The following is a 16,297-nucleotide window of genomic DNA, read 5'->3' as shown; positions in this document are numbered from 1 at the left end:
TAGGGCAGATTGCCTGAGCTCAGGAGTTCAAGACCAGCCTGGCCAAGATGGTGAAACCCCATCTCTACTAAAAATACAAAAATTAGCCAGGTGTGGTGTTGGGCGCCTGTAATCCCAGCTACTCGGGAGGCTGAGGCAGGGAGAATGCTTGAACCCGGGAGGTGGAGGTTGCAGTGAGCCTAGATCGCACCACTGCGCTCCAGCCTGGGTGTCAGAGTGAGACTGTCTCAAAAAAAAAAAAAAAAAAGAAAAGAGTTCACTGATTAAATTATGGTCTATTCATACAGTAGAATACTAGACATTCATTTAAAATGATGCAAGCAGGCTGGGCGCGGAGGCTTACACCTGTAATCCCAGCACTTTGGGAGGCCGAGGCAGGTGGATCACCAGAGGTCAGGAGTTCGAGACCAGCCTGACCAACATGGAGAAACGCCATCTCTATTAAAAATACAAAATTAGCCAGGGGTGGTGACGCATGCCTGTAATCCCAGCTACTCGGGAGGCTGAGGCAGGAGAATTGCTTGAACCCAAGAGGCAGAGGTTGCGGTGAGCCGAGATTGTGCCATTGCACTCCAGCCTGGGCAACAAAAGTGAAACTCTGTCTCAAAAAAATAAATAAAATAAATAAAATGATGCAAGCAGCTGGGCACAGTGGCTCACACCTGTAATCCTAGCACTTTGGGAGGCCAAGGCAGGTGGATTGCCTGAGCTCAGAAGTTCGAGACCACCCTAGGGAACATGGTGAAACCCGGTCTCTATTAAAAATACAAAAAATTAGCCGGGTGTGGCGTTGTGCATCTGTAATCCTAGCTACTTAGGAGGCTGAGACAGGAGACTCGCTTGAACCCGGGAGGCAGAGGTTGCAGTGAGCCGAGATCACGCCATTGCACTCCAGCCTGGGTGACAGAGCAAGACTCCCTCTCAAAAAAAAAAAAAAAAAAGGCCACGCACGGTGGCTCACACCTGTAATCCCAGCACTTTGGGAGGCCAAGGTGGGCAGATCACTTGAGGTCGGGAGTTTGAGACCAGCCTGGCCAACATGGAGAAACCCCATCCCTAGTAAAAATACAGAAAATTAGCCAGGCATGGTGGCGCACGCCTGTAATCCCAGCTACTTGGGAGGCTGAGGCAGGAAAATTGCTTGAACCCAGGAGGCAGAGGTTGCGGTGAGCTGAGATCACACCATTGCACTCCAGCCTGGGCAACAAGAGTGAGACTCCATCTCAAAAATAAAAAAGATGGAAGCATGTATTTGTATTTTGAGCATCAATAACTAGGTAAGAGAAGTGCATTTTTAAAACCAATGAGTTATAAAAATTCAAATTAGATATATATACATGACTAAGGGGTAGGGGGGTCCAGTTGTAACAATGGCAAGTTCTAAGAGATAAAATCCTAAGGTCTTTGTTTTTATTTCTATGGACATCGCTGTGTCTTCTTGACTCTTTTATAAGTAGCATGTTTTTAATAATCAGAATATATATAAATCTATTTTTGAAGTAATATAATGACTAGCCTTGTACATACAATTTTGCATACATCTTGACTTCCTTAGAATTAGTACCCAGGTTTAACTTATTTAGTTAAAAGAATAAATTTTTTTGAAACTTTACATACCTATTTTCAAATTTCCTCTTCAGAAGAAGTGCAAATACATATTTACCAGCATGTTGGACAATGCCACTTCCCTAGGCCCTCACTGGAACTTTTTAAATCCTTAGCCAGTTTGATCAGTTAACACCTGTGGTTGCTTCTGACGAGTCATGTCTCATGTGATCAGCATTCAAGAAATTCCTCCTTTCAAACTGGCTGTCCATATTCTCCAAAGTTTTGTTTTTAGCTCTTTCTATTGTGAACGTTTATTGTCTGTCTGGTTTATCTTCTTATAAGCAGTTATCAAAAGAATCAGTTTAATTAATGTTTGGAGTACTTCTATACCCAGTCCATAAAAGTGTGACAACTCCTGAACTCAGTTAATCAGGTTTCAAAGTGATTTTTCCTGTGGTTGAGACAATATAGGGAGGGAATTAGGATTTGGGGATTTACAGTCAGACTGCCTGGGCTCAAATCCTAGCTCTGTGACAACTTACTGATTATAACCTTAGTGTAGTTAATGAACTAGACCCAGTTCCCTCAGCTATATAATGAGGACTAAGTCAACCTCTGCATATAAAAACATGACACAGGGCTGGGACATAACTCTCAAAGGGATACTGCTGAATAGGTACAATGCTATGCAATGAATTGTGACCCCCCAAATTCATGTGTCGAAGCCCTAACCCCCAATATGATGGTATATGAAGATGAAACCTTTGGGAGGTCATTATGTTTAGATGAGATCATAAAGGTGGGGTCTCATAATAGTTTTAGTGCCCTTAAGAGACACCAGAGAACTTGCTTCTCTCTCTCTCTCCCTGCCATGCAAGCACACAGCAAGAAGGAGGCCATCAGCAAACTGGGAAGAGGACCCTCACCAGGAACCACATCTGCCAGCACCTTGATCTTGAACTTCTCAGCCTCCAGAACGGTGAGAAATAAATGTCTGTCGTTTAAGACACCCAGTACATGGTACTTTGTTATAGCAGTCTAAGCTAACTAAGATGTACAATTTTGTTATTAGCATTCTTCGTGGGGCCTGAGAGTCTTATGAGAAATAAAAGGGGGGTAATAATAATAGACCATGACAGATGGGTTAGAAATGCAGGTGAAAGTAATAAATACAGAGTGATTGACGTTGATACTTTTTATATATCTATTGGTGTTTACCCTCTAGTGTGTTTCTCTGGCAACTGTTCTCCCTAGCAACAAAAACCTGGTCTGCCTGAATTTGGTGCTAATTTTGCAGAAGATTATGGAGTGAGGTTTCTATATGAGGCTGAGTCATCCTGACTGTAAAATGGAGGTCCTGGAGTATGTATTCTTTTTTTTTTTTTTTGAGGCGGAGTCTTGCTCTGTCTCCCAGGCTGGAAAGCAGTGGCATGATCTCAGATCACTGCAAGATCTGCCTCCTGGGTTCACACCATTCTCCTGCCTCAGCCTCCTAAGTAGCTGGGACTACAGGCACCTGCCACCACGCCCGGCTAATTTTGTTTTTGTATTTTTAGTAGAGACGGGGTTTCACCGTCTTAGCCAGGATGGCCTCAATCTCCTGATCACGTGAGCCGCCCGCCTCAGCCTCCCAAAGTGCTGGGATTACAGGCGTGAGCCACCGCGCCCAGCCGGTCCTGAACTATGTATTCTGTGGCTTTCCTTCTAGATGGTATTTACTTTGTAGGGATTCACTTAATGGATGAGAAAGCTGGAATCTGTATGTATTTAGTAAAAGTTGAATTCTAAATGATTCATTTTTTCTATTGGAATTCTGAGGAAGTTTTTTATCTTCATTATAATCATTATAATGTAAGTTTTTCTTTTCTTTTTCTTTTTATTTTTTGAGATGGAGTTTCGCTCTTGTTGCCCAGGCTGGAGTGCATGGCACGATCTTGGCTCACTGCAACCTCGGCCTCCCGAGTTCAAGCGATTCTTCTGCCTCAGTCTTCCTGAGTCCTGGGATTACAGGTGCGCACCACCACACCCAGCTAATTTTGCATTTTTAGTAGAGACGGAGTTTCTCTGTGTTGGTCAGGCTGGTCTTGAACTCCTGATGTCAAGTGATCCACCCGTCTCAGCCTCCCAAAGTGCTGGGATTACAGGCGTGAACCACCACACCTGGCATAAGTTTTTCTTATCTTTCCAAGAAGACTTGCTGGTTTGTAGGGTTTTCCTTTTGTGTAAAAATACTCCTTTGTTACTAAATCAGAATTAAAGTATTATAAAATTTTCTACCCACAACACCATTAACACCAACTACTTTAAGGTTCATCTGTTCATTTTATACGTGAACAATTTTATTCACTTGTTTATTCATTCAACATTATTTTTAAAACTTATTTTAATATTGCTATTCACTTGTAATAGTCATGTAATATTCCATAGAACCCCACTGTCTCTGACAGGCACATAATAAGCGCACACATCATATCTCTGACATAACATGTTTGGCTAGTGAATGCCAGGCAGACCTCTCAAACCAGTGCCCAACAGAGCAGGTAGTTTATCTCCCAAAAGATGAGGTCCAGCCTTCAGCATTTTTAGGTTAAGAAGCTCAAGATTTGTAGTATTTAGATATTTTATTTTGATACGTTGATTTAAATTAACCAATTTGACAAGAAAGGCATGAAACTTCTAGAATACAAATGAAATAAGTTATCAATAAATATAACTAGAAGGGAGAGATTTGGAATATATGAACATCTTTTTTAAATTTAATTTTTAGTTGACAAATGTTAGTATTTGAACTTTTTTTTTTTTTTTTGAGACAGGGTCTCGTTCTTTCACCCAGGCTGGAGGGCAGTGGCGTGATCTCGGCTCACTGCAAACTCTGCCTCCCGGGTTCATGCCATTCTCCTGCCTCAGTCTCCCAAGTAGCTGGGACTACAGGCGCCCGCCACCACGCCTGGCTAATTTTTTTGTATTTTTAGTAGAGACAGGGTTTCACCCTGTTAGCCAGGATGGTCTCAATCTCCTGACCTCGTGATCTGCCCGCCTCAGCCTCCCAAAGTGCTGGGATTACAGGCGTGAGCCACTGCCTCCAGCCTAGTATTTGAACATCTTAATGGATTCATTTTCCTCTGGAAGGATAATCTACTTGGAACTTTGGGTAACTAGATGACCATTCATTTATAACACAGGGAAGGAGTTAAATCATTTTTAACACAGACCATCAGTAACTTTAACATACAGATTAACCTGTTATGAAGACTATTGATCAGAGTTATTTCTGGAGGTACCCTATCCCTCTGCTGTCTGAGATGTGCCCTGGGATTCTTTTGTATTGAGATAGGGTCTCTGTCACCCAGGCTGGAGTGCAGTGGCATGATCATAGTACACTGCAGCCTCAACCTCTCTGGTTCAAGTGACCCTCCCACCTCAGCCTCCTGAGCAGCTAGGACCACAGATGTGCACCACCACACCAGGCTGATTTTATTTTTTATGTTTTTTGTGGAGATGCGGGGGTAGGTCTCACTATGTTGTCGAGACTGGTCTCAAACTCCTGGGCTCAAGCAATCCTCCTACCTCAGCCTCCCAAAGTACTGGGATTACAGGCATGAGCCACCACACCTGGCCTACATTGGTATTTTTTTTTTTTTTTGAGACAGGAGTCTTTGTCACCCAGGCTGGAGTGCAGTGGTGCGATCTCACCTCACTGCAACCTCTGCCTCCTGGGTTCAAGCGATTCTCCTGCCTCAGCCTCCTGAGTGTCTGGGACTACAGGTGTGCACCACCATCCCTGACTAATTTTTTGTATTTTTAGTAGAGATGGGGTTTCGCCATGTTGGCCAGGCTGGTCTTGAACTCCTGGCCTCAAGTTATCTGCCCACCTTGGCCTCCCAAAGTGCTGGGATTACAGGCATAAGCCACCGCATCCGGCCTGCACTGGGATTCTTAACTGGATCCTGGGCTGATTGTTTTTCCCACAGTAGCAATGGGGTGGGAACTTATTAGCAGATAGACTAAAGAAAACTATCGCCTGGAACGTGTGCAAATGAGAATTTAGCAAATGTGAAATCTTCTTTCCCAAGAATGCCTTTAAGAGGCTCCAGACTAAGAGCAGAAGGAGAGTGGAAATAGGACTGATATCAAAGGGGTAATTGAAAGACAGTCTATCAAACAAACCACTTTGTGCCAGTTGATGCTGTGACTCTCCCTACTCCAATCTTATATATAAAGTGGCTAGCTGCAGCAGTCACTAAAGGAAAACTAAACTAAAAACCAAAATTGAAGGAGTCACTCTTCCCTAAAGAAAATGATCTGCCTCTGGAACAATCCAGTTTCCAGTGTAGGTAAGCTCTTCTCATTTTGGCAGTCGGAAGGGCCCTTCTTTCTGCCTTCTGCCTGTGTACCCTAAAAAGAAGCCTCCCAGTTGACACATCCACCATATATGTACAAAGTTCACATTATCCCTCCTATTCCAGAGAGAAGTCAGCTATGAAAATTGAACCCACAGCAGCAGATGAAACTCCAGCAGCTACCTAGTCATTTATTTATTTATTTTTAGGGACAGGGTTTCGTTCTGTCACCCAGGCTAGAACGCAGTAGCATGATCATAGCTCACTGCAGCCTCAAACTCCTGGGCTCGAGCAATCCTCCTGCCTCAGCCTGCTGAGTAGCTGGGACTACAGGTGCGTACCACCATGCCCAGCTAATTTTTTTTTTTAATTTTTTTTTTTTTTTTATTTTTGAGACGGAGTCTCACTCTGTCGCCCGGGCTGCAGTGCAGTGGCGCGATCTCGGCTCACTGCAAGCTCCTCCTCCCAGGTTCACGCCATTCTCCTGCCTCAGCCTCCTGAGTAGCTGGGACTACAGGCGCCCACCACCGCGCCCGGCTAATTTTTTGTATTTTTAGTAGAGACGGGGTTTCACCGCGTTAGCCAGGATGGTCTCGATCTCCTAACCTCGTGATCCGCCCGCCTCAGCCTCCCAAAGTGCTGGGATTACAGGCGTGAGCCACCGCGCCCGGCCTTTTTTTTTTTTTTTTTTTTTAAAGACAAAGACTCCCTCTGTCACCCAGGCTGGAGTGCAGTGGCACAGTCTTGGCTCACTGCAACCTCTGCCTCCCGGGTTCAAGCGATTCTCCTGTCTCAGTCTCCTGAGTAGCTGGGATTGCAGGCACATGCCATCACACCCAGCTGATTTTTGTATTTTTTTTTTAGTAGAGACAGGGTTTCACCATGTTGGCCAAGCTGGTCTCAAACTCCTGACCTCAGGTCATCCACCCACCTCAGCCTCCCAAAGTGTTGGGATTACAGGCATGAGCCACTGTGCCTGGCCCCAGCTAATTTATTTGTTGAGACGAGGTCTCACTATGTTGGCCAGGCTGGTCTCAAACTCCTGGCCTCAAGCAGTCCTCCTGACTGGGTTTCTCAAAGTGTTAAGATTACAGGCATGAGCCATTGCGCCTGGCCCTAGTCCTTTGTTTTTATGCAAATCTTCTTAAATGTTCAACCCAGATTTACTAGACATTTGAAGAAAACTAACAGCAAGTAAGAAAAGGGCGTTATTGAAAAAAGAGCTGTTCCCATGGATTACAATTTATACAAGAAACAGAGAAAACTTTGGAAAAAAATTTATGTATCTATGTATACTAAAAAAATTAGTATCTGTGAAGAGATTTGAGGATATTGCATCATAAGTCAAGAATAGGCTGCTATGGAAAAGGAACAATGCAAATAAGAGAACTCTTAGAAATTAAAAACGATTGTCAAAATAAAAATTTAATAGTATTGGGATAACAAACAAAAACATCCTTCCCCAAAAGATAATTGGAAAAAATTATGTTAGCCTAGGATATCTACTAACTACCTAATAGAAGTTAAGAAAAAAAATCAGGAAAAAAATTGAAGCAAAGAAATACTAGGAGAACAAATAGTCAGGTAACTTAGAGATACATGTTTTTATATTGAAAATGTACCAAGCACAGTAAATTTTAAACACATATATATACACACATATCTGTACACACAGCAAATTTAAACACACACACACACATACATACACAGAAACCTGTTACCGGAAAGCAGTCCCGATCCAGACCCCAAGAATGGGTTCTTGGATCTTGCACAAGAAAGAATTCGGGACCAGTCCATAGAGTAAAGTGAAAGTGAGTTTTTTAAGAGGCAGAGGAATAAAAGTTGGCTACTCCAGAGGCAGAGCAGCAGCTTGGGCTGCCCCACTAAGGATACTTATAGTTACATCTTCATTATATGCTAAACAAGGGGTAGATTATTCACAAGTTTTCCAGGAAAGGAATTTAGTACTTTAGAAAGTACTAAAACTAACTTTAGAAAGTTAGTTTCCCGGAACTAAGCGTTCCTCCCCCTTTTAGACCATATAGGGTCTCCCTGACATTGGCATGATATTTGTAAACTGTCATGGTGCTGGTGGGAGTGTCTCCAAGCGTGCTAATGTATTATTAGTGTGTAATGAACCGTGAGGACGACCAGAGGTGACTTGTCACCATCTTGGTTTTGGTGGGTTTCAGTCAGCTTCTTTCCTGCAACCTGTTTTATCAGCAAGGTCTTTATGACCAGTATCTTTGCTGACCTCCTATCTCATCCTGTGATTTACAATGCATAACCTCCTGGAAGTGCAGCCCAGTAGGTCTCAGCACCTATTCAAGATGGAGTTGCTCTGGTTCAAATGCCTATGACAAATCCTTCAAGATTTTGGAATAATAAAGATTAAAGGAAGAGCCTAAAAGTTTCCAGAGAAGGAAAACAGAGGTTACCTAAACAAGAATGAGAATTGGATTGGCATCTGTTTTGTCATCAGCAAAAAGGTACACAAGAAGATATTGAAGCAGTACCTTCAAAGTCGGAACAGAAAGTTGTTTGAATCTATAATTCTATACCAGACAAATACATGAAAGAGTAAAATAGATATTTCAGAGATGCAAGAACTCACATTTATTTCGCTTCCATATTTTTCTGAAAAAAAATTTAAGGATATACATTGGAGAGAATGAAACATGTGAGCTAGTAAAAAGGACCCAACCTAGGAATGCAATGAAAAGAAATTCCAGGATGTTATCTTTGCAGAAAGCCTAGGAAATAATGGATCCTCATTTGAGCAGGATTCCAGAGGGTCAGCAAATGCATTGAAACAAAAAGTAGATTCCAGTTAACAAATAGTTAAGATTAAGAAGCTAGATGATCATCACCAAAAAAGGTAACAGAGTATGTTTCATTTTCTCAAATAAAGAGGTTAATAAAAACACCAAGGAAAGCATAGTTTTATAAGAACATGATAGTCCACATACAAAAATTAGGCCAGGTGCGGTGGCTCACACCTGTAATCCCAGCACTTTGGGAGGCCAAGGTAGGTAGATCACTTAAGGTCAGGAGTTCGAGACCAGCCTGGCCAAGATGGTGAAACACCGTCTCTACTAAAAATACAAAAATTAGCCGGGCGTGGTGGCAGGCACCTCTAATCAAAAAAAAAACAAAAAAAAAAAACAAAAAAAACAAAAAACAAAAAAACAAAACTTCTCTAGGAGATATTATTTTTTTAAATTTAGTTTTAATTATCTATAGAATTTTGTGTGATGTGAGATAGGGACCTTTATGTGGTGTGAGATAGGGACCCAGTTTTATTTTTCACTTTGATTTGATAATCAGTAGTCCCAGATCTAGTCATTAAATGACTATTCCTTTCCCCTCTGATCTCCAATGCCCCCTCTGTCATATCAAGCTTGCATATGTGTGGGTCTGCTTCTAGGACCTCTAATTTGTTCTATCAATCATTTTGTTTAATTTTGAACCAATACCAGAGTATCGTAATTACTATAGCTTTGTCATAATGATACAGGAGGTAGAAAGAAATTACTTAGGCAGATAGTGAGGTCAGCAGAGTCTTCAGCAGAGCTTCCAGTCTAACAAAAAGCCCAAGAATCTTTTTTTTTTTTTTTTTTGAGACGGAGTCTCGCTCTGTCGCCCAGGCTGGAGTGCAGTGGCTCAATCTTGGCTCACTGCAAGCTCCGCCTGCCGGGTTCACGCCATTCTCCTGCCTCAGCCTCCCGAGTAGCTGGGACTACAGGCGCCCACCACCACGCCTGACTAATTTTTGTATTTTTAGTAGAGACGGGGTTTCTCCTTGTTAGCCAGGATGGTCTCGATCTCCTGACCTTGTGATCCGCCTGCCTTGGCCTCCCAAAGTGCTGGGATTACAGGCGTGAGCCACCGCACCCAGCCAAGAATCATTTTTTTCCTAACAAAGAGCAGCCTGACAAATCAAGCTGCAAACATAAATAAGGAAGCTAGAGGCTTGCTGGGGGAATGCCGACAGCTGTGCCAATAGAAAAGGGCTACCTGGGGACCAGGCATGTCCACCCTGGAGGTTTCATCTTCCCTTTTTTTGTTACCATGTGTACAGTAATAGATAAATGGGCAACATGGCACAGCTCAGGCAGAGAACCAGCCAGCATAATAGAAGATTAGGGTGGGGGCTACCAGAAATTCGTGCCCTATGCAAATGGCACACCTGATATAACCAGTTTTTTGCACCCTAGGTAAATCAGACACCGCCTATTCACCAGCTCATCTATAAAACCCCCTGCATTTCACCGCAGAACTGGAACCTATTTTACCAGGACCCCTCTCTGCAGCAGAGAGCTCTTCTCTTTCTTTCGCCTATTAAACTTCCACTCTTAACCTCATTATTTGTGTGTCCTTGTTCTTGTTCTCCATGGCCGTGGGACAACGAACCTTGAGTGTTACTCCAGAAAACGAGGCTGTTTCAATAAGACTAGATAGTTGATAGAATAAATCCTCCCACCTTACTCTTCAAGAGTGTCTTGGCCACTCTTGGCCCTTTGCTCTTTTATTTGCATGTTAGAATCTATCAAGCTCCTGGCCAGGCACGGTTGCTGATGCCTCCCGGGTTCAAGCAGTTCTCCTGCCTTAGCCTCCTGAGTAGCTTTGCAGGTGCCCGTCACCACACCCGGCTAATTTTTGTATTTTTAGTAGTGACAGGCTTTCACTATGTTGGCCAGATTGATCTTGAACTCCTGACCTCATGATCCACCTGCCTTGGCCTCCCAAAGTGTTGGGATTACAGGTGTGAGCCACCGCACCCGGCCAGCTGTTTTTAAACATAGGGTTGTTATCATTTGGCAGGAGAGCAGCAGGTGCAGCATATAGGCCACATCCTCACTCCCATGATAACAAGCCACTTCAGCCCCTGATTGACTGCTGGTCGGGTCTCGGTTTCAGCCAATCCTTCACGGTGTAGCCAATTGGAGGCCTCTACAGGGCATCAAGGGGTGTTGCTAGGTTCCTTTAGCTTAATAAAAACCGTAATTGAGAAGGCTCTTGAGCTGCTTGCAGGAGCCCACTCCTACTCTGCGAATTGTCTTTAATAAACCTGTGCTTTCGCTCTTTCCTTGCTCCGTTCTTTTGTTACTTTGTCCAATTCTTTTTTTTTTTTAATTTTTTTTTTGAGACGGAGTCTTGCTCTGTCACCCGGGCTGGAGTGCAGTGACACGATCTTGGCTCACTGCAGCCTCTGCCCCCCCAGGTTCCAGCGATTCTCCTGCCTCAGCCTCCTGGGTAGCTGGGATGACAGGCACACGCCACCACCCCTGGCTAATTTTTGTATTTTTAGTAGAGATGGGGTTTCGTCGTGTTGGCCAGGCTGGTCTCAAACTCCTGACCTCAGATGATCCACCCACCTCGGCCTCCCAAAGTGCTGGGATTACAGGTGTGAGTCACTGTGCCTGGCCTTGTTCAATTCTTTGTTCAACACACCAAGAACCTCAACAACTCTATCCAGTAACAATACCTTTTCCACTCAAATCCCCAAACATTCTAAATATGAGTGTTCAGATGTTCCCATACTTGTGTGAGAAGATCCAGGATAGTGATCAGTTCTCTATTTTTCCCGTTGGGACCTCAGACCCACAAATAAAAGCACATGTGGGAATTCCATAGAAGATCACTAAAGGTTCTCCCAAGTTCAACACAGATGAACAAATCCATTTGGACATATATACATTCATGGTTACATATAGAGGAAAATGCATTCTCTTTTGAAGAGGCCAGATAATGGTAATAATCTGTGATATGACACAACTTTAGAGGAAAATTTGTTCTTAATTGCTTAGTCCCTGTTGCTTGGTTGGGAAGGGAGGCATCTGTAGCATTCCCCTGGAGGTAGGAATCAACTATGGAATCAACAGTCCAGAACAGAGGGATAGACAGGTAGGTCCTCTATGCTTTTCCTAGGCTCTAGGAAGCATCAGTAAGTGAAAAACCAGTTTAGCTGGATGCTATAAGAGAAGTCCTGTGTTACTATTGGGGAAGATTGATATGATAATGGCAAGAAAGATAGTGGTGATGACCTTCCTGATTTGAAGATCTCTACATGTATTCTCTCAGAATGGTCCTAAAGAGAGGTAAGAAATGATACCTTATGAGAAACTGTCAGGACTGAAACTTCATGAAGACGTGTGTCCTGCTCTCTCCACAGCCCCATCAGCCAAACAGACTGAAGTTCGTCTGTGTTGTTACCCACAGGGTTCAACTGCAGAACAGCTGAGTTGTGTGTCCTTTGAACCTTAAAGTTAAGACCCTTAACAGTCATTCTAAAATGGTTGTCTGTACTCTTCTTTTGAGAGGATCAAATAAATCAATATTATAGCACTTTGAAAGAGTCTGAAGTGGTGTTATTTACCAGTGAACATGAATCAAGAACTAGAGTGGAAGAAACCTTAATCCTTAACCTACTTAAGTTAGGAAGGAAGATCGGAAAGGATGGCTAGGAACAACCCAACTCAAAGGATACTCAAGTGTCAATCACTCTTTTATGTCCCTTCTTTTGTCAATCACCTCAATCACTCTTTTATGTCCTCTTCTTTTTGTTCTTCCCACCACTGCCTTAATGAACACATTCGTCATTTAATTATGCATTTGCCCTCATCCAGCAACCCTAAAAAAACTTGCTTTCTCTGTTTCCAGTTTATCTTTTATACTGGCCCCTCGTTATTCTTTCAAACATATCTAGGCCAGGCGCAGTGGCTCACGCCTGTAATACCAGCACTTTGGGAGGCCAAGGTGGGCGGATCACATGAGGTTAGGAGTTCGAGACCAGCCTGGCCAACGTGGTCTCTACAGAAATACAAAAAAATTAGCTGGCCATGATGGTGGGTGCCTGTAATCCCAGCTACTCGGGAGGCTGAGGCAGGAGGATCGCTTGAACCTGGGAGCCGGAGGTTGCAGTGAGCCGAGATCGTGCCATTGCACTCCAGCCTGGGTGACAAGAGTTGAGACTCCATCTCAAAAAAAAAAAAACTATATATATATATATAATTACACAATTTCTATGGCTTAGACACCTTTATTGGCTCCTTAGGGAACTGCAGGATGGATTAAGTTATCTCCGTGGTATATAAAGTCCCTTCCACTCATATTTCAACCTTATTAAATATTCTGTAAGAAGCAAATATTAACATATAATGGATGCAATCAATAGAGACAAAGCCACATACAAGAAACAATACCTGATTATTAGCTAATCAAGTCTATAAATATCATGAATGGAGGCCAATAACACAAGCTCTAGGGTAACTACCTAGCAGAGCTGGGGACCTTGGGCGGTTGCTTAGCCTTTCTTAATAGGGTCTTCATCTGTAAAATGGGGATACTTTTAGCAGATGATTTTCCACACTATACTCAAACTCATAGAGTAAAAATAAAAATCTCTTTTCCAATAGTTAAGCCCCACACAGCTGAATCAACAATGCCATGTCTCAACATATTGGCTCCTGAGGCAAATAAAAAAATGTGTGCACCATACACTTTGTAATATATTCTTAAATTGTTGCTTTTTTCAGAACGCGGAAGTGGTTGAAAAATACAGAAAAACTGAAAAGTGTATTAAAACTCACAATGTTATTTAACCATTTTATTTATACCAAAATAGAATAATGTATTACAATTTTAGGTAAAAATTATTTAAATTTCTCCCTGGCTGGTGCCAGACCACACTCGACATTGTCTCATCATTTCCCCGACAGATCACAATGGAAGCAGAAATCACCTTGCTCATTGTTGACAATAGCTTTGCCATGTGCAAGTCTGCCTTTGCTGGGGACAATGCCCTCAAGTCATGTTCCTCTCCATTGTCAGGCACCCCTGGCACCAGGGCATGATGGTGGGCAGGGGCTAGGACTCCTATGTGGGCGATGAGGCCCAGAGCAAGCAGCATCCTGATCCTGAAGCACCCCATGGAGCAGGCCTCATCACCAACTGGGACCACATGGGGAAGATCTAGCACCATACCTTCCGCAATGGGCTGCACGTGGCCCCTAAGGAGCAACTGGTGCTGCTGACCGAGGCCCCCGAGCCCCAAGGCCAACAGAGAGAAGATGATTCAGATCATGTTTGGGGCCTTCAACACCCCAGTCAAGTACAGGGCCATTCAGGTCACCCTGTCCCTGCATGCCTCTGTCAGTGCCATTGGCACCATGGGGGACTCAGGCGATGGGGTCACCCACACTTGCCCATCTCCAAGGATACAGCCACCCTCTCCCAGTCATCCTGTGTTTGGCCCTGGCTGGCCGGGACCTGGCCGACTACGTGGTGAAGATCCTCGAGGGGCCCGCTACAGCTTCATCACCACAGTGAAGTGGGGGATTGTGCGTGACATCCAGGAAAAGCTATGCTGTGTTGCCTTGGACTTGCAGCAGGAGATGGCCACTGCCGTGTCCTCTTCCTTCCTGGAGAAGAGCTACAAGCTCTCCCACAGCCTGGTGGTCACCATCAGCAATGAGTGGTTCTGGTGTCCAGAGGCGCTGTCCCAGCCCTCCTTCCTGGGCATGGAATCTTGCTGCATCCAGGAGACCATCTTGACCTCCATCATGAAGTGTGATGTGGATATCTGCAAGGACCTGTACACCAATGTGGTGCTGTCTGGCAGCATTGCCATGCACCCAAGTATCACACACAGGATGTAGAAGGAGATCACTGCCCCAGCACCCAGGACCATGAAGATCAAGATCATGGCTGTCTCTGAGCACAAGTATTCCATGTGGATCAGCAGCTCCATCCTGGCCTCACTGTCCACCTTCCAGCCAATGTGGATCAGCAAGCGGGAGTGCCACCAGTCAGGCCCCTCCACTGTTCACCGCAAATGCTTCTAAATGGACTGTGATGAGATACGTAGCCTGTGCTGCCTGAGTCAATTCAGAAGTACAAATTTGTCCCTGGAAAATGTATACATCTCATGCTAGCCTTAGGAAACTGGAATAAGCCTTTGAAAAGAAATTTGTCAGGCTGGGTGCAGTGGCTCATGCCTGTAATCCCAGCACTTTTGGAGGCCCAGGCGGGCGGATCACCTGAGGTCGGGAGTTTGAGACCAGCCTGACCAACATGGAGAAACCCCGTCTCTACTAAAAATACAAAATTAGCCGAGCATAGTGGCACATGCCTGTAATCCCAGCTACTCGGGAGGCTGAGGCAGGAGAATCGCTTAAACCTGGGAGGCAGAGGTGAGCTGAGATCGCGTCATTGCACTCCAGCCTGGGCAACAAGAGTGAAACTCCGTCTCAAAAAAAAAAAAAAAAAAAAGAAAAGAAATTTGTCCTTGAAGCTTGTATCTGATGTCAGCACTGGATTGTAGGATTTGTTGCTGATTTTGACCTTGTACTGAAGTTAAATGTTCCCTTGGTATTTAATACCTTGTACTTATCTTTGATTTAAACCCTTAGTACATGTGGCTTAGTCACTTCATGGCAGAGGTGAGAACATGCTTGTGGAAGAGAAGTCCGTGGCTTGGTGATTCTGCCTGACCTGCAGTCTCTCCATCTGTGCAGGGTACTAATGTGTCGGAGCTCAGGGTTCCAGAATTCGTCTAGAGACCGGCAGGAGCTCCTCCACCAGTTGTCATTTCTGTCTTGCCCGTCTGTCAGGGTTGGAAAAGTCCAAACCTTAGGACCCAGTTTCCTTTCTTTCCTGATGTTTTCCTGCCAGGACACCGGTAGGCTGTTACTTGCCTTGAGCTGGAAGAAGTTTGCATTTACACTGTAAATGTATTCATTGTTTTAATTGATGTAAGGTTTTTATGTACAATTCTTAATTCTTTAAGAGATGACAACAAATTTTGGTTTTCTTTTTTTTTTTCTGTGGCTAATCTATTTTTAACCACAATCCCAAGATAATTCAGTGGGGGAAAAGACCATTTCTATAAATGATGCTGGGACAACTGGATATCTACATGCAAAAGAATGAAGTTGGATGCCTACCTCACACCACATAAAAAATTAACTCGAAGTAGATCAAAGGCCTAAAAGTAAGAACTAAAACTAGAAGCTCTTAGGAGAAAACGTAGGTATACATCTTTGTGACTTTAAAGTAGGCAAGTTTCTCAAATATAACATCAAAAGCAAAGCATTGGCAGGGCGTGGTGGCTCACCCCTGTAATCCCAGCATTTTGGGAGGCCAAAGCAGGTGAATCACTTAAAGTCAGGAGTTTGAGACCAGCCTGGCCAACATGGTGAAACCCTGTCTCTATTAAAAATACAAAAATTAGTTGGGCGTGGTGGTCATAGTCTCAGCTACTCAGGAGGCTGAGACACAAGAATCGCTTGAACTGGGAAGTGGAGGTTGCAGTGAGCCGAGATTGCACCACTGCACTCCAGCCTGGGAGACAGAGTGAGATTTCGTCTAAAAAAAAAAAAAAGAAAGATCTACAAATGGCCAATAGG

General features: G+C 43.9%; 1 pseudogene across 1 annotated transcript; it reads left to right on the top strand.

Moving 5' to 3' along the window:
• The first annotated feature begins 1,260 nt into the window (after positions 1-1,260).
• Positions 1,261-15,161, top strand: ACTG1P17 (actin gamma 1 pseudogene 17; annotated as a pseudogene). Its single transcript, NR_036446.1, has 3 exons — positions 1,261-1,277; positions 2,427-2,527; positions 13,610-15,161. The product of NR_036446.1 is annotated as an actin gamma 1 pseudogene 17 (transcript).
• Positions 15,162-16,297: the final 1,136 nt, after the last annotated feature.

The sequence above is a fragment of the Homo sapiens genome, chromosome 15 (assembly GCF_000001405.40).
Source record: "Homo sapiens chromosome 15, GRCh38.p14 Primary Assembly".
Taxonomy (NCBI): domain Eukaryota; kingdom Metazoa; phylum Chordata; class Mammalia; order Primates; family Hominidae; genus Homo; species Homo sapiens.
The sequence above is the reverse complement of the archived record's forward strand: the minus strand, read 5'-3'. Positions and strand labels throughout refer to the sequence as shown.